Source organism: Homo sapiens, chromosome 8 (assembly GCF_000001405.40).
Source record: "Homo sapiens chromosome 8, GRCh38.p14 Primary Assembly".
Classification (NCBI taxonomy): Eukaryota; Metazoa; Chordata; class Mammalia; order Primates; family Hominidae; genus Homo; species Homo sapiens.
The window spans coordinates 128,848,322-128,875,190 of NC_000008.11; the positions used below are offsets into that span (position 1 = coordinate 128,848,322).

General features: G+C 38.5%; 1 annotated feature.

Moving 5' to 3' along the window:
* Positions 12,685-13,283: an enhancer, noted in NCBI's record as "NANOG hESC enhancer chr8:129873252-129873850 (GRCh37/hg19 assembly coordinates)". NCBI's record gives its function as "activates a minimal SCP1, AML or CMV promoter by ChIP-STARR-seq in primed H9 embryonic stem cells {active_cell/tissue: H9 hESC(primed)}" and the evidence as "EXISTENCE:reporter gene assay evidence [ECO:0000049][PMID:30033119]".

Consider the following 26,869-nt stretch of genomic DNA (forward strand, 5'->3'; position numbering starts at 1 on the left):
TCAGCCAATGTTGCTGTTATAAATATAATTTTGTCCTCCACACCCCAAATTTATTTGTTGAAGCTGTAGCCCTTAATGAGACTATATTTGGAGACAGGGCTTTTAAGGGGCTAATTAGTGCTAAATGAGATTATAAAAGTAGGGCCATGATCCCACAGGACTACTGGCATTGTAAAAAGACGAAGAGATACTAGAGACCCCTCCTCTCTGCAGCACACACAGAAGAAAGGCCATGGAGGACAAAAGGTGGTCATCTGCAAGTCAGCAAGAGGACCTTCACCAGAAACCCATCCTGGAGACGTCATGATATTAAAATTCCAGTCTCCAGAACACTGAGAAAATAATATTTCTATTGTGTAAGCCACATAGTCTGTGATATTCTTTTATGGCAGTCTAAGCAGATTAATACAGTAGCTCCCCCAGGTTAAGTGGCATGGATTAGGTATCAAATTTAATACACCCATGTAGGCTGTCCCTACAGGGGGACCTGGACACTGTGGCAATGTTACATGGAGGGAGGAGGGGGACAAGAATGAGTCTGATGTGACCTCTGCATCTCTGCATTCCAAGATCCCCTATCTTGTGGAATAGAGTGGGGGCATAACATAACACACCTATAGGTGAGAAAGAAGAATAAATAGGTCCCATGTGAAGAACACTCACATAGTGCTATGGGGTCTCAAAAAAAGAGGAGCACCCTTCCAATAGCAGTGTTAATAAAGGATCTATAGAGAAAATTGCATTTAAAGGCTCTATGCCTTTCTTTATAAGGCCATAGGCCTAGTAGTCAATTTTCCACATATTTACCTAAAATATATGATTCATGCATGTACTTTATTTCACTTTTTATTGAGGTATAATTTACATATCATAATGTGCTATGAATATATACCTCAATGGATTTTTACATGTGTATATCCTCACATAACTACCAGCCAGAATAGATATAGAACATTTGCAGCATGCTGAAAACCTCCTTCACAGATCCTCCCAAGGAACATGACCTCAATCGTCAGAGACCTCAATCATTTATCATAGATTAGTTTTTAACTTCATTTTGTTTCAGACTTTTACATAATAATTTTATGTCTGTGACTCTCGACTATGTTGGTGTCTACTGTAATAGCTTGTTCTTCATTCTTATGCAGTTTTCCGTGTGTGTGTGTGTGTGTGTGTGTGTGTGTGTGTGTGATCACATTAATTCATTCTACTTTTCATGGAAATAGGAGTTATTTCTACTTTGGGACTATTATCAATAAAGCCATATACAAAAATTATTTGGACAGAAATGAATGCATCTTTTGGTGAAAAACCCAGCATATTTATATGTGTAAAACCAAGGAGTATTCACACGTGGACACAAACATATACCACGAAGGAGCTGAATTGCTGAATCCTAAGATGTATGCCTGTTTAGCTTTAGCAAATCCTGTCATTACATCTTCAAACTGAATGTACAAATTTATAATCTCATTCTCAGTGCATAAACATTCCAGTTGCTCCATGTCCTTAACATTATCGTTATAATTCTAGCCATTCTGGAAGAGGTTTAAAAAGTGTTTCAAATATTGAATATTTAGCATAATTGTCACATTTCATATGTGTTATGATAGATACTGTTTCAAGCATTAAATGGATTCATATATTTTCCTGGTTTGCTTATGTGCAGGATATTTTCAGGCAAATTTGTCAAAGGGCACTTTGGTCCTAAATGACTAAAAATATTCCATAGTATTAAAAAGCCATCCAAAAAGAAAAAGATCCCGAGAAGACTAAAAAAATTTTTAAAAGAGACTTTAGCCTGTACTTGTGGAGTACTACATACATGATATATTTGAATTTTAGATAAATGTTGTATTATGTGGATTGAACATTTGCTAGTCCTATGATATCCAAATATACACCACCCAGGGACAAAAACAATGTTTGTTACTTAGTAAGTGTGAGTCATTCAGAAAATATGTGCTAATTGCCTTAAGAGTATTACTTTTAGGCAGAGTGGTGCACCTCTGCAAGATAAATGAGTTTCAAATGAAATTGGGAGAGAGGGGTTAAATTAAAGCACTCCAGCAAAAGGGCTTCATTTTCCATTTTGCCTCCCAAGTGTCTCAGTAGATAAATACCAGCTGATTACCAATGAGTAGAGTTGCTTCCTCAGTGGAATTTTGAGGATTGATTAATATGTCTCAGAAAGCCAAATCAAATATCACGGGAATGGCTTATGAAGAAAAAATTATCCTGAGCCAATTTTCCACCAGTACCAAAGTTGATGTTGTCTTTCCAAAAATGGGTTTTTCTGTAGGTTGGTGCAGTTAAGACACTCATACCAGTGTCCTAGTTGAGCCACACTTTCCTAAAATAAGCAAATGTTGCTGAAGCTTGACTACACACCAGGCACAAGACTAGAAGCAGGAGACAAATGAAAGAATCGTGGTTCAGATTTCCAACAGCTCTCATTCTAGGATAGATTGTAAACCAAGCACTGTGATGTACAACCAGCGTAAGTGTGTGCAGGGGAGGCTTGGAGAAGCTGGAAAACTATTTGCTGTTAGAATGATAATCACTGTGATTTGACTCCTGCCTCTGATGCTACTTACAAGCTGAATGTCCTATGAGTTATTTAGTCCCTTTAAAATTTATTTTTATTTGTTTCACAATGATGGTGATGATACTTAGAGATGTTGCATATAAAGCGCTTGGCACAGGAAAGCCATATGATCCACAGTTGTTCATATTTTCCCATCCGGATGGGACAATTCAAAGCTGGTCATGACTTGCATGGGATGCAGCTCCTTCCACTGTCAGGGCGAGCTTCACAGCCACTAAATCCTCTGACATTTTTATTTCACCCCTAAGCTTTCCTGACTTTGCAGGAAATTAGATGTGGGTTTTGAAGGATGCTGTAAACACTGGGCCTTTTTAGGTGGCTTTCAAAGAAGCAGGAAAATACAGGAAGTCAGAACAATATTAAAAAGACATAAAATTTAAGCCATTGTCAATTTCTGCTGTTGTATCAGACTGGGCTGGATTTCGTGATAGTTCACGACCCTCCCAGAAACAAAGACTATCTTGTAGAATAGCTATATCTAAGAATGCATTCTGGTAGGAAAACAGGGCCATATGAAAACAGGGCCTGGGGCCATAGGAAGTATCAGTTCAAAATCTGAAATCAGAATCAAAACCTACATCTTTCCTAATTTCAGATTCAGAGCAGATAATTGTCTTCTAACCTAGTATTATTTGGAGCTATGTGGGAGGCTGAGTAATGCCTCCCACTTCCACCCCAAGGATGTCCATGTCCTAACCTCTGAAATTTGTGACTACGTCAGGCTACATGGAAAAGAGAAATCAAATGCAGATGGAATTCATGTTGCCAGTCAGCTGACCTCAAAGTAGGATTAGCCTGGATTGTATGAGTATGTCTAATATCATTGCAAAGGTGCTTAAAAGTAGAAGAGGGAGGTAGGAAAAAAAATCAGAGGGGAAGATGACTATGGAAGAAATGCACAGAAAGATGTGGCATTGCTGACTGAAGATGTCAGAGGGCCATGAGCCAAGCAATGTAGGTGGTGTCTAGAAAGGAAAAAGGATTCTGACCAGGACCCTCCAGAAAGGAACACACTGCCACACTGCTGCATTCATTCCTTGATTTTAGCCCAGCAAGACTCATTGTACACTATTTTTTTTTTTTTTGAGACGGAGTTTCACTCTGCTGCCTAGGCTGGAGGTCAGCACTGAAGCCTCTGCCTTCTAGGTTCAAGCGATTCTCCTGCCTCAGTCTCCCAAGTAACTGGGATTACAAGCACTCACCACCATGTACGGCTAATTTTTTGTATTTTTAGTAGGGTTTCACCATGTTGGCCAGGCTGGTCTCGAACTCCTGACCTAAGGTGATCCACCCACCTCGGCCCCCCCAAAGTGTTGGGATTACAGGCGTGAGCCACTGTGCCTGGCCCCCATTTTACACTTCTAACTCCAGAACTGTATATGCGGTGGCTTTTGACAGCAGCCATGAAAAACAGATACCAACTGCAACCACAGAATGGAACAAAATGCTGTCATTTACCAGCCCCTAAACTGATCTTACTTGTGAATTATTCACTGGCCTGGAAGTCATACCAAAGCATGGTCACTGGTTTTCCTAACAACAAAACCACCCCTACATTTACTATTATTAGTGTAAAAGTATTTTATTAATAACTATGATTCATTTATACAACATAGTTATTAGAAACAGTGAAACGTGTTATTTGTTAGGCATTTGCTATTTGCTGAGCCCAGTGTTAAATTCTTCACCAGCATTATTTCATGTAGTCCTCAAAATCACTTTAGGAGCTATTACAGGCTTTTTCTCTGTTTTACAGATAAGGATTCTTTTTTTTTTTTTTTTTTTTTTTTAAGACAGAGTCTCTCTCTGTCACCCAGGCTGGAGTGCAGTGGCGCAATCTCGGCTCACTGCAAGCTCCGCCTCCCGGGTTCACGCCATTCTCCTGCCTCAGCCTCCTGAGTAGCTGGGACGACAGGCGCCCGCCACCGCGCCCGGCTAATTTTTTTGTATTTTTAGTAGAGACGGGGTTTCACCGTGTTAGCCAGGATGGTCTCTATCTCCTGACCTCGTGATCCGCCCGCCTCGGCCTCCCAAAGTGCTGGGATTACAGGCGTGAGCCACCGCGCCCGGCTCAGATAAGGATTCTTATATGCACATGGCCATGAGAGAAATGAGACACAAGTATATATCCAACTCCTAATCTGCACTCACTCTCAACATTTATTTTATTTTATACTCTTTTAAAACAAATAAATATATCAATTTTCAAAATTTCTTTTTTTTTTTTTTTTTTGCAACAGAGTTTTGCTCTTGTTGCCCAGGCTGGAGTGCAGTGGCGCGATCTCGACTCACCACAATCTCTGCCTCCCAGGTTCAAGCAATTCTCCTGACTCACCCTCCCAAGTAGCTGGGATTACAGGCATGCACCACCACGCCTGGCTAATTTTGTATTTTTAGTAGAGATGGGGTTTCTCCATGTTAGTCAGGCTAGTCTCAAACTACCGATCTCAGATGGTCCGCCTGCCTCGGCCTCCCAAAGGGCTGGGATTACAGGCACAACTCACTGCTCCCAGCCTCAAAATTTCTAAACCATGATATGTACAGGAAATGTTCTATCTGAAGAGTTCTCTGATACTGAGGGAAAAAAAATGTTCATATTCAGACCCAGGTAAATGCAACGTGTGAAACATCCAAACTTTTGTGAGAAAAAAAAAAAAAAAAACAGATTATTTTTATTAGGCAAGAATTACTCTAAAAATATTTTGAAAACAAGCATCTCTCAATGAATGTAAAACATACTTTTTTATTCCCAAAATGTTCATTAAAACAGGAACTTTGGAGAAACTGGCATAGTAATGCCTTTCTATAAATCAAGGTGTCAGCCAGAATTAAATTGGTCATTGGATATGAAAATGCTTTGTAAATCGTGCCTTTTGTGTGTATTGGTTACTTGCTATTTTTCAGAAAACACTAATAGTAATAGCATAAATTTCTGTAGCCTTTGGAATATTTAAAGGTCTTCAAAGGAAGCACTCTCACTAATTAATTAATCAAGATCTCAAAGATGGGCTGGGCAGGCATCTTCATAAATAAAGAATAGAGGCTTTGCATTTAGTTCCCTTTGAAAGACTCTTACCCAAAGGCAGCCATGCGCCATTACTGTGTGAAACACAGGACACTAAAGATGGATGAGACATGGATTCTTCCCCAAGGAGTTTGTCTACTGGGAACAACTAGAGCATAAATAATTCCAATATGGTGGAGAAAATGATAGTATTAAATGACTTTGCCCAATGCCACACAGAGAGAATTAACCCCAATTTCCTGGCTTCTAATCCAATCTCTCTCTCTCTCTCTCTCCACACACACACACACACACACACTCACACGCGCCACATAAACACACACACAATCTGTCTCTCTCTCTGCCTCTCCCCTGCACACACACACTCTCTCACTCGCTCGCTTTCTGTTTCCCTCTCTCTTTCCCCTACTCTCTCTCTCTTTCTCTCTCTTTCTCTCTTCAGCCCTTTCTTTCCTCCTTAGGATCATCTTGCTTCTGTGCACACAGAAGAAGGCAAGCACCTCTTTGTCTTCTCACAACTCTCCAGACTGAAGTTCACCCCAGTAAGGGACGGTTCTTGGTTCTTTTCTTCAGATGTCCTCAAACTGCTTAATGCAGTTATAAGCAATGACAAAAATGGGTTGAGGTGCAGCTGAGTCACATTCCTCTCTGCACTTATCAGTATGCTAGGCAGTTAGCAGCCCATATGAGCTGATCCACTAATTCATTCAGTAAACAGTTATTCAACATCTACTATGTTGTAGGAAATGTGGTAAGAGCTGATGTTATAGAAATAACTCCACTAATTATAATAGCTATTGCCTAGAGTGTATTTATTATGCACTAAGCATTCTTGTAAATATTTTGCATTAACTGATTTTATTCTGATGAGAAACATACCATTATGATTGTCATTGTACAGACAAGAGAACTGAGAGAGAGGTTAGGTGATTTGCACAAGACACCACTGGTAAGTGAGTGAGCCTCAATTCAAACTTGAGAACTTGGCCTGATCTCACATACTTAACCATTACACCAGTTCCTGACTTTGAGAATATTTGTGTGCCTGGTGATTTCCAGGGTATTATCTGTGGCCCACTGGTGGGTCTCCAGGATCTTTTGGATAAGAAAGGAATGGATACAATTCTTTGTTATTGCAGAGTCCTTAATCCGTTACCAAATAACAGTGGGAGAAGCATGCTGTGAAGCATTTTGCCCCTTGTAATTGAGTGAAATCCAAAATGCTAGAGAAACACGGGTTTAGAGAGGGAGGGATGGCATTGAGACATCACTAATGTGTTGTCTTAAGCGCTCTGACAGAGATCTGTAGAAACTTGGAAGGGCTGCTCAGGGCTGCTAGAAGAAGATGACTTGTGGACAGAGATTTAAAGATTTGTAAGAGCTAGACTAGCTTGGGGAAAAGTAGTTGAGGGGGAAGTGTGTTTCGGGGGGAAAATAGCAGATATAAATACAAGTAAGACATGAGATAGTATGACAAGATCAGAGATCTACTTTCAACTTTTAGTTCAATGTTGCTAAAATATTAGGTGGAAGAAAGACAACAGTAAAGACAAAGTTGGAGGGAGAGTAACAGCCACATCGTGAAACACCTTCTGTATTGTCATCAGCATAAATTTACTAACAAACTATCAAAACCTCTACTGTTTGGCATTTTCGCCTCCAGAAGCAAACAAGAAGAATGAGGCAAGAAAAGAAATAAAGACTTCTCAATAGTCACAGGGGTCTGCTGGTACTTTGGGTTATTTCGCAAGGTGATTTTATTCAGCAGCTCTTAATTAAACCAAAAAGTTGTTGTCTAGTCCCAGTTGGAAAGTGAGAGTTGTGTGCATTTAGTATTCAAATACTGTAACAACTCAAGAAATTACAACAGAAGATCTTTGCTGTTAGATCTTATTTTTTTAAAAATCTGTTTCAAATTTTCTGCAATGTATTTTATACACTGTTGTGTAATAGGTTAGTTGAACACTGCCCATGGAATCATAGTTACTGCTCACTTACTATGAGTCCCACACTGGGCCCAGTGTCTTGTAGACATTCTTTCATTTATGTCCTAAAACAAGCTTGTGACATATGTAATATTAGCTGAAGAAAAAGAAATTATCCCAATTTTAAGATTCAAAATGACGGTGTTGAGCACCATTTCATACTTACTGGCTGTTTAGATATTCTCTTTTTAGAAATGCCTAAAGTTTTTGTCTATTTAGTTAAAATTCAGTTATTTGCTGTTCTTGTCAATTTTTAGGAGTTTTTAAAAGTATATTCAGGTTAATGAACCTAACTTTTTACTTTATAATTTTTATAATGTCCAGTTTATCGATTTTTAAAATTTATAGTGGGTTCCTTTTGTGCTTTTCTTTTTCTTTTATTTTATTTTAAATTCCAGGATACACGTGCAGGATGTGTAGGTGTGTTACATAGGTAATCATGTGCCATGGTGGTTTGCTGCACCTATCAACCCATCACCTAGGTATTAAGCCCCACATGCATTAGCTGTCTATCCTGATCCTTTTGTGCTTTTCAAGCAATCTTTGCCAACAATGAGATTATGAAGATAATTCTCCTATATCTATGTTTTATTCTAGGAACTTTAGAGTTTTACTTTTCACATTTAAGTCTATGACTCATCTTAAAGTTTTGTGTCTGGTGTCAGTTAGGAGATCATATTCATTTCCTAGGGTTGCAATCACAAATTATTACAAACAGAATGGCTTAAAACAAAGGAAACTTATTTTTCACAGCTATGGAGGCCAGAAGACCCTAAACAAGGTGTTGATAGGACACACTACCCCTGAAGGCACTAGGCCAGGATCACTTGTTATCTTTTTTTAGTTTCCTGCTGGCTCCAGGTACTGTGTGGCTTCTGGAAGTATAACTCCAATCTCAGCCTCTACCTGTACATGGCTGTCTCTTCCATTTTCTCCCTTTGAAATCTCTTATAAAGACAGTTGCCATCCAGAATGATTTCTTCTCAAGACCCTTCACTTAATTACATCTACAAAGACCCTTTTCCAACAGAAGTCACATTCAGAGGTTCTGGATAAACTTATCTTTTAGGGGTCTAGTACTGAACCCACTGCAAAGGTTACACAAAGCTTTCAGAAAAATGGAGAACAGGAATATGCCCCAATTCATTTTATGAAGATGATACAATTCTAATACCAAAAGCAGAAAAGAATATGACCTCTCATCCTCCGCAAAAAATGTAGACCCATATTTCTCATAAACATATAAGCAAAATCCTAAATAAACTATTATCAAATGAAATTTAGAGATATAGTAAAAAATATTACATCGTGACCAAATGGGACTTATCCTGTGATTATTATACAGTTTTATCTTTTAAAAAATTAATCAAGATAACTAACCACAAGATAAGCAACTTTGATAATCATCAAAATAGATGAGAAAAACAACATGATATAAGTATACATAGAAAGGCATTTAATAAAATTTGGCACGTTTTCAAGATGAAATTCTCAGGAAACTGGGGATAGAAGAAAGCCTCCTTAATCTGACGCAGGGTAACTACCAAACAAAACAAAATAAAAACCTAGCATGACACTTTGTAGGGAAAATCTGAACGCTTTCACCCTAAGATTGGGAACATACTAAAGATTTCTATTATTGCTATCTCTAACATTATAGAGGAGATTCTAGCCATTTCAGTAAGGCAAGAAAAAGGGGGAAACACGTACAGATTGGGAAAAAATAAAAGTAAAAATATCTTCACTCACATATAATGCACATATACGTTTATTTTATAGTATATTTAAAATGCTCAAAAGAATCTACAACAGATAAAAATTGTTAAGAGAATTTAGGAAGGTTGCTGAATGAAAGATCTGTGTACAAGTATTGATCATATTTCTGTATATTAATAATTAACGATTAGAAAATTACTTAACTTTTACATGCTTATAAGACTATAACAATGAAATAATTTGAACCAAAACTTTTCCTCTCCTACTTTGGTCTTTTGGCTTCCTTTTCTTTTTTCTTTTTCTAATTATAGATTTTATTTGTATTTTTTAGTAGAGATGGGGTTTCACCGTGTTAGCCAGGATGGTCTTGATCTCCTGACCTCGTGATCCGCATGCCTTGGCCTCCCAAAGTGCTGGGATTACAGGCGTGAGCCACCGCACCCGGCCCAGGCAAGCAATTTATTAACCTGCCAGCTGCCCCCTTAACAGTCAAGGGAAACAGCCCCAAGTTTACAGAATGAGGGGTTTATGCTGGGGAGAGGAGTTTGAGGGAGTTCTTTGGTATGGCCGCATCCCGGGGTTGTTTGCTGGTTAATTTTGCCACATAGCACCTTGTGATGTTTATTACAGGAGGTGTAGGTAAAAGTTTGTTTATGCTTCCCACCACTTCACCCTGTGCGGCCTAGATGGTTTGTAATTGGGGTTTGCTTATTGAAGCACGGTCTGATAAGTGGTCTGGGGGCTTCACCATGGTGCCTAGATAACGGCTTAGAAATGTAAAGAGGCTTGGGGAAATGGTGGGCGGCATGGTGAAGAGTTGCAGAGCATTAGGGGGAGGGGGGCCGCACCAAGAAGCTTTCTTGGGGCAGTTTGTCCCTAACAATAATGTTTGGAGATGGGACTTTCAGGAGGTAATTAGAATTAGATAAGGTCATGAGGGTAGGGTCCCCATGATGGAACTAGAGGCTTTATAGGACAGGAAAAGAAACCTGAACTGACCCACATGATCTTGCCCTCTCACCATGAGATGCCCTTCACCATGTTATGATCAACAAAAAGGCCCTCATCAGATATCCATACCATGCTTTTGGACTTCCCAGCCTCCAGAACTGGTTGCTAATATATTTATTTAAAAAAAAAAATTACCCAGTCTGTGGTATTTTGTTACAGCAACAGAAAATGAACTAAGACAAAAGGTTTACGTAACTCAGGAAATTATACTGCCAGATTCAACTCAGATATTCTGGGTCTACAGCTCTTACTTTAAATCATTAACACAAAACTACAACCCACCCCCGCCACCACCCCGCCATTTGAAAGGAATATCATCACAGGGCATATTATTTTAAAAGTATTTATATCAGTTTATAAAATCATTATGACAGTTATAGAAACAGGAAGGCTTACAGGATACCCCCAACTTTTTATGAATTTTGTCAGAGTTAAAAACTTCTTATGATGTATGTCAGAGTTTAAAACATTGACCTACAATCGTTTATTTATGTTCTATTCCCTAAAAGGTTCCTCAATCATACCAATCTACTGGGCGAGGTGTGATAGCCCCAAAACAGGAAGTGGTCAACTCGCGTGTTGGTAAAAAGAATTTACCAACAACAGTGTAGGTTTGAAAAAGGAAAGTTTATTAGAAAGGAGGAAAGCTACAAGAGTGTAGCGGGATGCCTCGGCGAGAGGACTGAGCGCCCCCTGGTGGATATATCATCGGGGTATTTATGGAGCTTAAGGCGGGAGCTTAGGGTTGTAAAATGAGTTTCAGGGATACATCGAGACTTTAGTTACTTATAAAAGCTGAAAGAGGCCTGGAACCAGATGCGACCAGGTGGTCTTTGTTCCCTTCTATTAAATACCTAAGATAAGGAGTTTTGCCTCCGAATAGTCTGACCAGGTGATTTTCACTCTCCTTATTTATGTTCTTTCCTTATCAGAAGATCAAAGGAACTTTTATTTGTTTATTATTTGATTGTTGATCCTTCACTTGTGCCAAGATTGTGTTTCATCAAACACCTCTTTCTCTCCCTTGCATATTCAACCAAGGCCAAAGTATTAGTTTCCAAGGGCTGTTGTAACTCAGTACTACAAACTGGATGGCTTAAACCACAGAAATTTACTGTCTCACAGTTCTGGAGGCAAGAAGTCCAAAATCAAGATGTTGGCAGGATTTGTTTTTTCCGAGGACTGTGAAGGAGAATCTGGTCCATGGCCCTCTGGCTTCTGTTGGTTTGCTGGCAACCTTTGGTGCTGCTTGGCTTCTGCTGTATCACCCCAGTCTTTGCATCATCTTCACGCAGTGTGCTTCCCTGTGTGCACCTGCACACAAACTTTCTCTTTAAAAGGACACTAGTCATATGGGATTTGGGCCCCACCCTTACTATAGCGTGACCTCATCATAACGAATTACATCTACAACAAACTTATTTCCAAATAATGTCATGTTTTTGAGGTACTGGGTATTAGGATTTCAACACAGGAATTTGGGAAGAGATACAATTCAACTCACAACAGCGACCATAGTATTTATTTATTCAGTTAACAAAACTAGCATTTTTCCCACCCTATATAATTAATAACTTCTGGCAGAGGAAGGACATCTGGAGTCAGTTACTCCAGAACTACAAATGAGAAAGAGAAATGGGTTTCAAAGGAGAAATCAGATTCTGTTACCAGATAAAATATGGAATAAATGTTGGGCAGGCATTGACAACAGAATTTTTATACTCTTGAACATTTTCTCGTGTGTCTTTCACTTTCTAATTGAGAGAAGGCTGGATTCCCCTCTTATCACGTCACTTAGCTTCTGCTAAGCTCATAAATATTTTTTATTGATGAGGTTAGTAGTATTTTGTCTAAAATATCCACTGCTCTTTCTTGCAGAAGGCTAATATTTGTTCCCTTCTAGGAAGTGAGGCTTGTGCACGTGACTTGCTTTGGCCAATGGAATTGGAAGTATCATGTGCAACTTCTGGCCAGAGGTTTTAAAAGACACTGGTTCTTTTCCATTTTTCCTCTGCAATAAACATGGCTACATCCAGATAGAGCCTGGACGTTTAAATGAAGACATGGAGCACAGCTGCCATCAACCCATAGTGAAAAAACAGAGACTTTGAGCTTTGAGGTAAGTGACTTCACTTTGATCACTGTCAGGATTTGGTGAACTTTTTTATAAGAATTTACACCTTATTAGATCTTGTGGGTGCCCCTTCCAGTTCCAGGGTCCCAAATTCAAATGCCTCTGGGAACTGAACAGGTAATTTCACATGATTCTAAGGCCAATGGTAATTGTACTAGGGACAGCTAGGATCAGAGGTGAAAAGAGTGCATACCCCTGGCTAAAAGCATGTCAACTTAAATCCTTTTCAAAAACTCCGCCAAACCAAACCTACTTTCTGCAAGAAATCAGTCCTGGGACCACCAGTTGACCTCTCCAGCTACACCGGGCAGTTCTCTCAGTGCAGCCCAGGGTGGCAATTCCTACAAGCTTATAGGGATTAGTTCTTAACAGACTGGAGCCTGAATTGGAGCCTGAATTCCAAGTAACTACCAAGGATCTTTCTATAGGGAGATCAACGCTAATGAAGGGCATTGTATAGAGCTACAAAGAATGGAATTTAAGCCATCACAGTACAGTTGCATGAATAAACTTTAATTTTTTTAAATTATCTGTTGTAAGACAAGGAAACAAACAAACAGGTTTTCCTCAAGGAGAGAACATGCCCCAATAGCTGGCTTCCTTTCATTTCATCCTGAAATCCTTGTTTAAAATAACTTAAATCATCGGAGAAGCACTAAACTTCTCCTTACAGCTAATCTGTTCAGCAATGCCACAGAAGAATGCAGACTGAATAGCAAGTCTGAGCAGATTCCCTGGGACAGGACCTCTTGAAAGGACAGGGGAACTGTTTTCCTCAACATAAAAGGGAATAGAACACATTTGCTCCGTTTTTTACTTTTCTGTTCTGAAATATGAGAAACACTTTCAAAGAGTTCCTTAGGAATCCCTAAGAATAAACTATTTCTGTCCCCACACACCCATTTCTCTTTGTGGAAATCAGATTACACCCTCCCAGTGATTTCTCAGAAGAAAATCAAAGCATACAACTCCGGAAACATTCAAAATAGTCTCCCTTCCTCAGAGCGCGCTGGTAGCTGTGTGGATCCAACGGCACTGTGGGAGTCTGAGTTCATATCCTGGTATTGCTAGGCAGATGACATCACTCTTATTTTCCATAAAGAGTTGTTCCATATGTGCTGCTTGCTGAGAAAAACACACATATGTGGCAACTGTAGATGAAATATACGTGCAATGTGAGCCCAGTCCAATTCGCCTCTTAAAAGAAACAGCGACACTATTTAAGCTCTGTTTAAGCAATACTGATAAAATAGCATTTTCTCTTCTGACTTTAAAAACAATTCCCAAGCCTGCATGGAATCAATTTCCTCAAATAGTTATAAACCTTTTGTTAAGTCTTCTTAACATAATAGGTTAGCTTTACATTTGGGAGTCACTAGATATAACAGAAATAATAGGTTATGTTTACCAAGAGCTTGTAGCATGCTGGGGTAGCCTCCTCAAATGGTGTGCTTCCCACTTTAGAGGTGACAGAAACTCAGCCTCAGAGAGGTTATATAAATTGTGCAGTTATGCTGCTGATACTGGGGTCTGAGTTTCCATCCCTGGCAAATCTGAAAGCAAACCTAGAGCTCCTTCCACCTGGGTGTGTTCAGAAAACAATGAAAAGGTGAAAGGCAAAGAGTTGTTTCTGATAATATTGTTTTGGAATGGGATTATGTGCCGAACCTCTTCTCTCTGGAATGCTTCAGAGTCAATCTGTTCCCTCAATTTTTTTTTTTTTTCATTTCATTCTGAAGGCAGGCTGGAGTAAGAGAAGCAGACACTTTGAAGCCCTTTAGAAGCAAAATAGCACATAAAGTGAAGAAGTCACAGTGACTGCTGTCGTTCCGAAAGCGCAGACTGCATTTCCAAAAGGATTTGATCTTGTCTGAGTTTAACCCGGAAGATTACAAATCTGTGTCACTGGCAATACTATTAATTCCTAGAGAGTTTTACTAATATCTTTTCTCTATCTTGTCTGCCTTAAAACTTTCCCCAAGGTACCGGGTGAACAGAATTCTTTTCCTTTATAATTGTTGTAATCTCCCATTTTCTCACTGACCTCCCCTATCCCCCCAAAACCTTTCTAAATCTTCCTAAGTGGCAAATTAAAGGATTTGCCCCTGGTGCTGCCTCTGACCCTTTAGAAGCTGAATGACAATTGTTTCCTCTCTTTTCTTCCTGACTCCTCCCCTTATCCCTGTCTTGGGAAGTTGAGCTTCTTCCAGTGAAGTCTTTCCCATCAATCCCAGGGACCTCCTCTGCTCTGTTTGTCTACAATCATGAGATTGGGCATTTCTTCAGAGTTTAAAATCAGGCTTTGCAATTTGACTTTTGGGGACTGGGAACAGAGTGTGGTATGGGGATAATTTTTTAATAATGCCTTGGTCTCTTACCCAGAGAACTGTCAGCCAACCCCACTCTCCAATCCCCAGGGGAAACTGCCAATATTACCATAGGAAGGATCAATAGAGTTGCCTCAGCAACAGTAATCAGCCATGAAACCATTTTTCCTGGCTGTTTGGATACACTGAGTGGACTGGGAGCAGAGGTGTGTCCTTCCTGTCTTTCACGGAGTCCATGGATATGAGTTGATTGTATTCACTGGATCCAGTCCCCTGCAATGGGCACTAGGTGAGGTCACAGCCTGAAGAGGATCTGTGAGAAGCCTGATTTCACTTGAGATTTCCTAAGAGAGCCTTTGAAATATGCCGCCACATCCTAAAAGTTTTCAAGAACATTTGTCAGGAGCCAAATTTCTAGGAGTCAGAAATGTATATTTAACAGCCGACTCCACTCTGGTCATTTGCTGAGATCTGCACCCCTTGTTCTGGCATAGAAAAGAAAAGAATCAGTTGGAATCAGGGTGGAAGAATAAGACTTGGCTGTTAGCTGCAAAGACAAGGAGCAGGCAGAGTAGATTGTGGGGTTTTTTTCCCCGCTCATTGATTCCAGCTTTAGCCCAGCACAAGTTTATTTTTAAAAATGTGGATGCTCCATTTTCAGAGAGTGATCTAAAAATATATGCCTGCATGCCTGTGGCTGTAATGTGTATATAAATCCAAAGCCACAAAAGAAAGTGATTATATTATACTCAGGAGCTCAGATGCATTACAAAGCAGAACTGGAGGAGCCCTCCCTACCTTCCTCATCAGGAAAGAACATATGTGCACATTATGTCCATGTATATATTTTCAGAGTGAGTTTCATGAATGAGTAAGATAGGTTTTCTATGCAGAGTAATTTAAGGACACCAAGAAAGGCTGTTTTTCAAGTATGATGCCATATTGGCCCTCTATGCTGTCTAAAATGACACCCTTGGCAAAAATAAAACTATAAGAATGAAAGCAAACGTTGATTAGGGGTGCTGTTTCCACATGTTAGGCATCATGCTTAGTCTTTTCAGGTTTCACTCCCTTTACTCCACATTAGAACAAAGTAAATCAGGTACTGATATTATTATGATGTAACAGATGAAGAAACTGAAGTTAATGAGATTGAGTAAGTTGTCCAAAGCCATGCCCAGAAGGAAAATGTTTTCTGATTCCACAACCCATGTCGTTAACAACCACATGATGAGAGGCAGTGTGCACGGTGGTTAAGAATGGGCCCAGCTTCTAGCGCCAGGCTGCCTGGATTTGAAACTGAAGTCTGCCTAATACCAGCTTTTTCATTATAAGCAAGCTATTTAACCTCTCTGTGCCTCAGTTTCCTTCTCGGTAAAAAATAAGGATAATAATTTGACTCTTAGAGTTGCTGAAAGGAATCAATAGGTTAATTGATGTAAAGCTCTTAGAGAATGAAAGTCATCAGGGACTGGCAAAGTTTTACTTTTTGCATTGCACGGCCACCCAAAGCCTATACTGCATAGTGAATGTGTTTTCTTTTACAAACGAGTAGAGTACTAAAAGCTACAGACTCAGACAATCTGCTGTTGAGGCTCAGAAAAGCCAATACTCCAAAATGAAAGTCTCATAAGCAAAATTTCTCTTGGAACTTCTGCCCTCCTGTCTCTCGCCTCTTATTCTCTCCTGAGGAATAGTAATTAGAATACCTCTTCCCCAGGATGGGTCAGAGAAACCAGAACCCCTTTCCCCCAAAGCCAGTTAGAAAGCCTGAAAATATTACTCTAACCTTCCCTCATCTTTCTGTGTAACAGCAGGCCATTAAGAAATTGAGACCTTTATTCCAGAGAAGTCCTATCCCATACCTGGGAGGAAAAAAAATAAAAAGCTACAACAGAGAGGCCAAGAAGAATCTGGACAGACAGGCCTTGGTGGGTTTCCTCACTCAACTACCATTAGCTCATAACCTTTTTGTCCAATCGCATTTCTACATGACTGTCCTGGCTTCATTGAACCTAAGCATAAAATCATACAGCTTCTCCTGTATCTTTGGGTCTTCAATCTGAAAGCCATTGTTGAATAAAAGTCTAATCAAATAAATTTGTTATCCATTTCTCTTGTTAAACTGTCTTTTGTTATAAGAGTGTCAGCTGCAACTTTAATGATGGGAAGGAAAGGGATAATCCTCTTTCTGCCCCTACACAGCCATTCATGTTAATATAGATTGCTTCATTTAACTAGCTCAGATGAGGACAATGAAAGATTGGGCATATGGTTTGGGGCTGGGGAAAATTAACTCCAGTGTTTGGAGTAGTGATAACGGAGGTTGGGGGGAAAATGGAGTGGTATGGCTAACTAAAGGGCTGTGATATCGTTTGGATATTTGTCCCAACCCAAATCGCATGTTGAAATGTAATCCTCGATATTGAAGGTGGGGCCTGGTGGAAGGTGTTTGGATCATGGGGGCAGATGCCTCATGAAGGGTTTAGGCCATCCCCTTGGTGATAAGTGAGCTGTGGGTCTGAGCTTCCCACAAGATCCGGTCCAGATGTTTCTCGTCTCTCTCTCTCCTCTCTCTCACTCCCATTTTTACCATATGATGTCCCTCTTCTTCATTCACCTTCTGCCATGACTGAAAACTCCCTGAGGCCTCCCTAGAATCCAAGCAGGTGCCAGCACCATGCTTCCTGAAAAGCCTGCAGAACTGCGAGCCAATTAAATCTCTTTATAAATTACCCAGTCTCAGGTATTTCTTTATAGCGTGCAAGCATGGCCTATCACAGGCAGCACAAAGGCCCTGGGCCCTTAAAAGGAAGGAGAAAGAGAGTAAGAATTAGTATAGGAAGGCATCGGCAAAATTCTGTAAACAGCCAGATGTTTTCTACCCTGCAGGCTGAAATAAAACATCATACACTTAAACATTTTTGAAATCTGCTTTTTGAACCAATCTTTAATCTGCCATTGAAAAGGAACCATTTTTTATTTTCATAATTTTTTTTTTTACCTGGGAGCTGAAAGGGAGACTTAGTGTAGACAAAGAAGTCACTGGGCTGAGTAAGATGGAATCTGCTGCTGCCCTACTCCTCTCCACCCAGGCAACCTGAACTTTCTGGGGAATCCAAGAGCCAAACAGGGAGATTCTGACCACCCAGAAAGGGACAAGATTCGTGCTTTACCTGAAAGAAGGACCAGGAAAGACTTCCTATGGGCCATTTCCATTGATTTTTGGGGAGACTATCTCTGATACAATGGAAATATTTTTAGTGGTTAATTTCATTTATTGCGCATATATGTTGGTAATCCTAGTGCTGGATAAACCTTGCTTTTAATAGCAATTTTCTCTTGAGCAAGCAGCTCACCATGTTTGAGCCTCGGTTTCTTTAGCTGCCAAATGAGGACACAATGATGATGTCATTATTAGAAATACATAACCAATTTTTTTTTTTTAAAAAGACATAATTGCTGATAGAGAGGAGGAGCTCAATAAATGACAGTTCTTTCTGTTTGGCACACCAAGTCTCTGCCCTTGACTGAAGAGGTTACAGATACATTATTCCAATAGTTAAGCCAATTATTGCCAATATTTATTGAGCCACCACAAAAAACCCAAGAGTGAACTGGGCACTAAGGAAGCAGAATTTAATCTCTGCATTTAGGAAGCTAGTAGTCTAGTGGAATATGGTTCAAGTACAATGCAAGGTATTTTTGGAAGTAAATGTAGAATTGTATGCTACAAACATCTAGTACTTTAGATTTTAGGAAACAGTGAATTCAAATGGAGCTGAGATCAGCACAGAATCCTTCAGGGAGGCGATGCTAGTGCCTAAGTCCTAAAGGGTGAGCATGATCTGGGTGGGTGGGAAGGTGAAAGAAGGCAATGTTCATCTTTAACCCACCATTACATGAGAAATGACTCACAAAATAACCTTGCCTCACCTCAAAGGAGGCCACAGTGTTATTCATTTTCTTGGAAAGAGAGCTAAAGTTTCCAAGGCATTTTGAAAAGAGAATTGGATGCTACACCTTTTTATGATTCAACCATTTCCAGATATGATTCCATTAAGTGCCTTTTTAAGACTTCTGCTATCATTCTCTGAAGCTCAGGGAAAAGATTCTTTGTGGTTTGACATTCCTTTTCATTTACTCTGGAGGAAAACTCACCATGAAAATTTCCATATGTTCATCTTCTCCTGTACATATTTATATCAACAGTTTCCCTTTTAACAACTTTCAAAACGTATGCTCTTTCCAAAGTTATTTTCCCTAAAAGTAATTCACCAGTAACATAATTCATAGATTACGGGGACTGCACAAAGTTATAGAGGCAGGTGTGACATTTCTACTTGGTAAAAGTCATTGTCCCAGAGCATAACAAGGGGCAAGATTTACCCACTGGCTTGAGGTATTCACATTGTTCTATTATGATCTGTGATAAACTTATCACTGCTGAAGCAGGCTGTTGGTTTTAGCAAGAGATTGTTACCATATATATTTGTGATATAAAATCCATCTTAATGAAAAAACATAGCATGTGGGTGGGCAAGAGAGGCAGTCAGTAAATGCAAAATCATGAGATTGGAAGCTATTGATTTCCGTACTCCCTCCACCCCCAGGTTCTGTGAAACTGAAATAAGAAGCAAAAGTTAAATAACATGAGAATATTTGAACTTGCAAATATCAAGCCAGGAATTTCCTAAAGAAGCATTACAGGCTTTTTATAATGAGATAGTCAATCCCATTATCCCAAAGAGTCCAGTTTAGTTTTGGCATTTACATACACTGCCTTAATAGCCTGGTGTAATTCTGAATATATGTTTTAATAGGTACATGTATGTAGGCTAAAGAAGAGACAGCATTTAACAAAAGTATGGTTTGGCCATGTTCATACTCCCTAATAGCCATAATCAAATATCTCCTCATTCTGTTGTGTGATTCTTTATATATATATATATATATATATATATATATATATATATATATATATATACTTTAAGTTCTGGGGTACATGTGCATAACTTGCAGGTTTGTTACATAGGTATACACGTGCCACAGTGGTTTGCTGCACCCATCAGCCAGTCATCTACATTAGGTATTTTTCCTAATGCTATCCCTCCCCTAACCCCTCACCCCCAACAGGTTCCAGTTTGTGATGTTCCTCTCCCTGTGTCCGTGTGTTCTCATTATTCAACTCCTAGTTATGAGTGAGAACACGCAGTGTTTGGTTTTCTGTTCTTGTGTTTGCTAAGAATGATGGTTTCCAGCTTCATCCCTGTCCCTGCAAAGGACATGAACTCATCCTTTTTTATGGCTGCATAGTATTCTATGATGTATATGTGCCACATTTTCTTTATCCAGTCTATCATTGATGGGCATTTGGGTTGGTTCCAAGTATTTGCTAATGGGCCACATACATGCTTAACCAAGGAGACTCTTCCAGAGCATCCTATGTCTTTATGCCTTTAGACCAAAGTAAATGTGTATTGGAAATAGAGATGGACCAACACCAGAAAAGCCACACTGTGATCTGAGAACATCATTTATGATCTAGAACATCATTTATCCCTCTGCCATGTTTTCATGCTTGAAATGAAGAGGTAGACTAGAAAACCTCTAAGGTTCCACCATCACTGATTTCTTGCTAAGATTAAGAAGAATCAATGGAAATTAGCATGGACCATCTACAAAGGAGAGCTCTTGATGTGCTCCTCACTGCATGAAGCACAGCTCAAGCATTTTCCCACTTTCAACTCTTGGGCTGTTGGCCAAGATAAATGAGTTGCTATGTGGAAAGCACTGAACACATAGCTCTCTAAAATTTAAAAGAAAAAAAAAAGGAAAAGAGAAAGGGGCCCTATTAAGCAGGTACTGTTATTTTCCCTATTTTATAAAAGAGGAAATTGAGGTTGTAGATAGGTAAAATATTCCGCCCAAGGCCACCCAAATAACATGGCATGAAGCCATGACTCAAATTTAGGGCCCTCAAATCCAAAGTTCACATTGAATTGCTGTTTATAAATCTGAAAGTAAGAGAGTTGCATAACCATAGAGCAAAGAAGATGCCCAACTCTTCCTGAACAACAGTATAGGTGGTCAAAAATTTTAAAGGTATTGTGTTTTGGTGATGCAAGTGGAAGAAGAACCAAAAGTAATGGTAAGCTAGAACTATTAGAGATGGATTTGGGATTTGAATTTTCAAGATGGATGTGTTCCAGGTTCATGTACTGCTGAGCAGTTAGTTACATTTAATGCTTGTTTCTCATTTTAGTTCACATACCTTTCAAATAAGAAGTATATGAAGTAAAAGCTTGGATTTGCTATGTTTATAGTCTTATTACAACTTTTAATAAAGTTGTTTCCTATGCAAAAACAAAATGGCCAAGATTCTGATCTCACAAATATAGGTTTCCTCCCTTGCTTTATTTCTTGATCCATTCGTCTTTCCATTTATTTATTCAAAAGCACAACTATTAAACAAAGCTTTAGGGATACTCAGAAGAGAAAGGGGGATGTATTGCTGGGGAATTAAGGAAGGTTTTTCAAAGGAAATGCAGGTTGAATTTGGTATTGATGAAGGAGAAGGAGTTCACTGAATATCCAAAAGGGAAGCGAGTCAGGGGTTGGCATTTCAGACAGTGTTCCGGGGATGATTACAGATAAGATGGCTTTTTTGAGATGGTGAAAAGTTCAGGAGGTGGTTGAAGGCTACGGGGATAGGATGAGAATTTCTTGCTATGTAGGAGTGAGAGAAGGACACCGTGCGATGACAGACAAAGTAAGTTTTGAACCATACACTAAAGGGTTTGAGTTGAATGGAGAATTTACGTTAGAAAGTAAATTGAAAGGGATTTTCAAAGGAAGGATGGAATCATTCCACTGGGTTCGGATGAGGGGAGTTCAGACTGGTTTCCTGGTTGTAAGAAAAGGAATTCATTCTACGCTGTAAAATGTTATTCCAATGATAAATTCTCTCACTAGCATATCCACTTTGAAAAACAACGTTATGAACTTCCCTGCCCTGTAATTCAGGAACCATAGAGATTTAGATCATGCATCTTTGAAGTGTTCCCTACAGTGTAATACTGGCCACCCAGCCTGCAGCATCTGCTCCGTCTGTGTCCAGTTTCCTTCTCTTGCACCACGACCGATGCAGCTCTTCTTTTTTGGTGTACCTCAAATTCAGAAGCACACCACTTCTGCCTCCTTTTCAGGCTGGCTTTCTCCATTCTTCTCATTCTTGCTCCTTCCCCTCTTTCCTTCTTTCTTTGTACTCATTTTCCTCCCACCCTCTGTTCTTCCCACTTTCCCTCCCTCCTTTTCTTCCTTCCTTCCTTTCTTTTAAAATCAAGTGAACACAATTATCCCCGTTTTCCAGATGAGGAAACATAAAGAAATGAAGTGACTTGCCCAGGGTTGCTGATCTCTATTCTATCTGCATTCTCCTGAACTGCCTTTACCCTATATTTTAGAAATGGATTTTAAGGGCAATATTTAGAAATCAAAAATAAAACTAAATTTTAAAAAAACTAAAATTTCTCAAAGAACTTACACTATTTCACGGGTAGGACAAAACTATAGGCCAAAAAGAAAGCTTCAGATTTCCATATAACATGCCAATTGTATATTTTGCCATATAATTATTATTGATCAGAAAATATTGAGTTTTTTGCTACTTTTTAAAATTAAAAACTGTGATTTCCTTGTAATATTGTGACTCATAAGATAATACTGAATTTAAAAAAAAGTCTACCACTATATGACAAATACACAGTTTTCATTTTCTCATATTCCCATTTTATTCCATTCAAATATGTTTTACATGAATAAAATCATACTATTTATAAAATCCTGCTTAATATTTTTATGCTGATATCTACATTGTGCAGTGTTCACATTTATCATATTTAAAACATATATTTTACTACCTAATAAACTTATGGATTTAATTATCCTCCTATTGTTGCATATTAGGTAGACATAATAGTTTTTGCTCCTAGAAGTAGCACTGTAGTGAAAATTTCTTACGTATGCCATTCAGTCTTGCTAAATTGTTTTATTAAAATAAATCTCTCACTAGACTATAAACTTTTTCAAACAGTTTTTGCCTTGTTTGTTTTTGCAGATCAAGTGCTCAACTGGGGCACACAATTAGGACTTTTTGAATAAAATAAATAAAATAATTCTAAGATTCATAATCATTGGGGCAAAAGATATGAATAGCTATCTGGCTTTTAATATTTGTTAAATATTACCTAAAGAGTCATACAGTTTCCAATGACTTTAGCAATGTACAGGTTTCATCACAATAGGACAGTACTGGCTGTTAAAATTTTAAAAAATTTTATGAATGTCGTTGTTAGTAAAAGAAGTTGCTTTAATTTAGAAGCCTCTGATTAGTTTTTTTCTTTCAACTATTTTTTTGTTGTTTACTAATTTTTCTTTTAAGAAATTATGTCCTTATAAGTGAGAATCTCCTTAAAGTATTTTTCATTAGCCAACATTTTTGTCTGTGAAGAGGAAGGAGAAAGAAAAGAAGGAGGAAGAAGAGAAACTTCTAGCCCAACTTTTCCACTTCAGGGAGTAGATTTTAAATGTGTTTCATTCAGGACTGCCATCTTAACTAGACCCAACGGCATGAAATTTGAAAGCATATCAAGTTTACCTTTTCAAAGGAGATGCTGCTAAGTGAAGTTAGGATATTCATGTATATTCAGAACTTTCAAACTGTGCCCCAGCATCAAATGCCAAAATACTATACAGCACATAAACATCTTTGTTCTGCTGAAAATGATATTGCTCGGGTCAAAATGTCTCTATGGCAATATTTCTAACTCAGGAAATTGTTCAGGGAATTAATGTGAACTACACTTCCAGAAGCTAAAATGAAGTGCCTTTGCTTTGGAAAAGCACAGAGTTTCCCTTTGTTTATAGGTACCCTAATTTTACATTTTACTTAAGCATCTTATGAGGAACTTAAGAGATATATTTAGACATGGAAGCTCTTAAGTGTATATCAACTTCGTTATTTATAAGAATAAAACTTCTCTAAGAGGAAGGAAACAAACATGAATTTAGAATGTCCCTTGCAGGAATCACTAGGCGCTTTCACTGTTATTTAATCTTTACAACATTTGAGGTATATATTATTGTCACACAGAGAGATTAAATAAATTGACTAGGTCACACGATTATTATATGAAAAAGCTAGACAAACTCTCTCTGACACCAGAGGTTTATACTTTTTCATTGACTGCCGTGTTGGACACAGTTTTAGCTTCTAAGGCAAAATGATCTGAAAATGTTCAAAGATGACTGATTAAAAGCAGTAGAATAGGTTACTCAGTCAGATGAACTATGCCATTTTTATCTGTCTATACGGCATAAACTATGAAACTGTCCAAGGAAATCCCATTACATTCCACCCTCAAAATATATTTTTCTGTTCTGCTTACATTGTTTTTTGCCAACCATTTTGTTTTTAACAATCAACATCATAGAATGTTAAATTAGAAGAGGTTTTAAGCGTCATCTATTCCAACCACCACATTTTAGATATTGCAAAATGATGGTTTACAAACTTGCTCATAGTTACATATTCTTATGATAATTGAATTTGAGACTAATATTGGTAGAAATAATTTCTTTGTGTAATATTTTGAACCACAGAAAATTAAGTTCATAACCATTTTTCTAACGAGTGAGTGAATAAATGAAAGAACACTTATTTTCCCTGTTCCTTTTTTGTTTTGTTTTAAGCTAAATAGGGCAGGACTGTGGTGCCAGACATATACATAGATTTTTTAAGGCACTAGACCCTGTGACTTTAGCTACTCAAGGAGAAATGCCCCTTTTGTAATTTTGTCTTTTTCTCATCCTGATCGGATGTTAAAAGAAACAATGCAAAAATCTTTCTTCTGTTTAACATGAAGACTTTATTATAGAAATCTGACTTAGGTACGTCATCTCCATGAGGACCTGTGGGAGGCATTGCCTTTAAAACCACCTATATAGAATAACTGTAGTTCTTCTGAGCAATTGACTTACTTTTACCTAATAAGAGCTATGATTTTCACACTTAAACTATTTGCATCTTTATATTGACTGCCAAACAATGTGTTAATGGTAAAGGTATTTACAAAGTTTTTATCACAAAATTAATTATGATAAAATATGAAAAGTAGAAAAAAACACATTGTTTGGCAGATTTCTTAAAACAAAGTTTCTGAGGTCAAAGAGATGATGTGAGTCTGGAACTTAAAAAGTGTCTAACTATTTTTTACCTCTCTAAGGCAAAGTATAGGAAAATGTATTATCTCTTGAAAATTAGTAATAAAATATTTTCCAGAAGCATTGCAGCAATTCACATTTGTGAGAGCATCATTTATACTAGAGAGCTAGGAATCTTTATTGTCATTATTACTGTATTATTTTTAGTATTGTTATTACTAAGACGCAATAACATATGTCATTATTTACATTGATTTATTTTAGGCTTCAAGATAATTGACCAAAATACCAAAAGATATTCAGTAAATAAGTATTTTGTGAAGGCTTTCTTTTGCGTCAGGCAAAGTTCTAAGGTCTCTGCTTAGTCCAGCAACCCAGTCATCATTCGTAGGGTAATTTAAAAATTCTGATCAAATGAGGGTGAGTGCTTTCAGTGGATTCACCAATTTGGTCAACAGGCAGTTAATAAAAGCTTCCCATGTGACAAGCACTAAGACAGGGACCAGGGCTACGGTAGTGAGTAGTGGTTTTATTGGGATTCAGTATGACTCATAACGGACATTGGTTTTAGTCCTATAGCTTTTTATTGTTTTCCTTCTCCTTCATCATGTAAAAATAGACATTTCTCAATACAATATTTCCAAGTTTGATTGATTATGATATGGAAGCTGCATAGTACAAAAACATAATTATTAAAATTTGGAATGAAACACTTGCTTTATTTTTTATGTTTGTTCTGTTTGACCTTGGGAAACTACCGTTATGTGCCAAGCACAGTGCCAGTTTTTGCCAGCTTGCTTGTATTTTTCTGCTAATAACCTTATAAGAAAAAGCTACAGACATCAACAAGGAGTTTAGAGGCATTTGTAAAACTGGCTAACACAATGGTACCTACATCAAATGGTTGTTGCAGTGATTGAATAAGATACAGGCATTGACAAGAAGTATAAAGGTTTCAATACGTTTTTCCTGTAGTTGCTGATCCTTAAATGGGAAAAAGATTGTCTCATTAACTTCCTGTAATAACAAGGCATAAGGAGAGGCTGATGAACTATCGCCCACCTGCCTCCCTTACTGAGTTCTCCTGTAACAGCTAAGGAGTCTGGTACTGCCAACTCGGTTCCTACTGCCTGCAACCATGACAAAAAATCACAAGCTGCTTTCCTATGTAAACGCCTGCTTTCACTCCCTGACTCCAGCATATTTAGGAGACAAACCTCCCGCCCCGTTTAAGAAGCCTCCATTCAGCATGACCTGCAATCAGAGACTGGAAACAGGCAGAGGAAGCCTCATAGCAAAAGATGTTTTTCCTAGGGGGAATCTATTGAAGCCAGGGTTTTGTCGCTTTTGACAGAGAGCTTAATTAGCCTTTAACTCTTTAACCACAATGTGATCTTAAAGTATGGAGAGGAAATTAACCACCACTGCTCTGAGTCACATGGAAGAAATTAAAGTAACGTCCTCCTTCACTAATCCTCTTTCAAGGCACAATAGTAAACATGCATTATATTTAACAATCATGCTCCCCTGGAGCTAAGCATGGGTCTCAGTGAAAATAAATACTCTCTAATGTGTCTCAGAATGCTACCCTAGAATCACAAACAAAAAGTCTTGTGACTGCATCCCCAGCAGAATGCACTGCCTAATGACAAGGACTGGGATCAATATATAGGCTTTGAGGGTTGATTTGTTATCTAGGATTTATAATTCATTTTTGGTTGCAAAACAGAAGCTCAGTTAGGTGTGATGGTCACTTCCCAAGTCTGATGCTCTTCCAGTCTTGGAGATAGTTGTAGAGAGAAGTGTTGGGAGTGCTGGGTTCTAAGGCACAGAGATGAC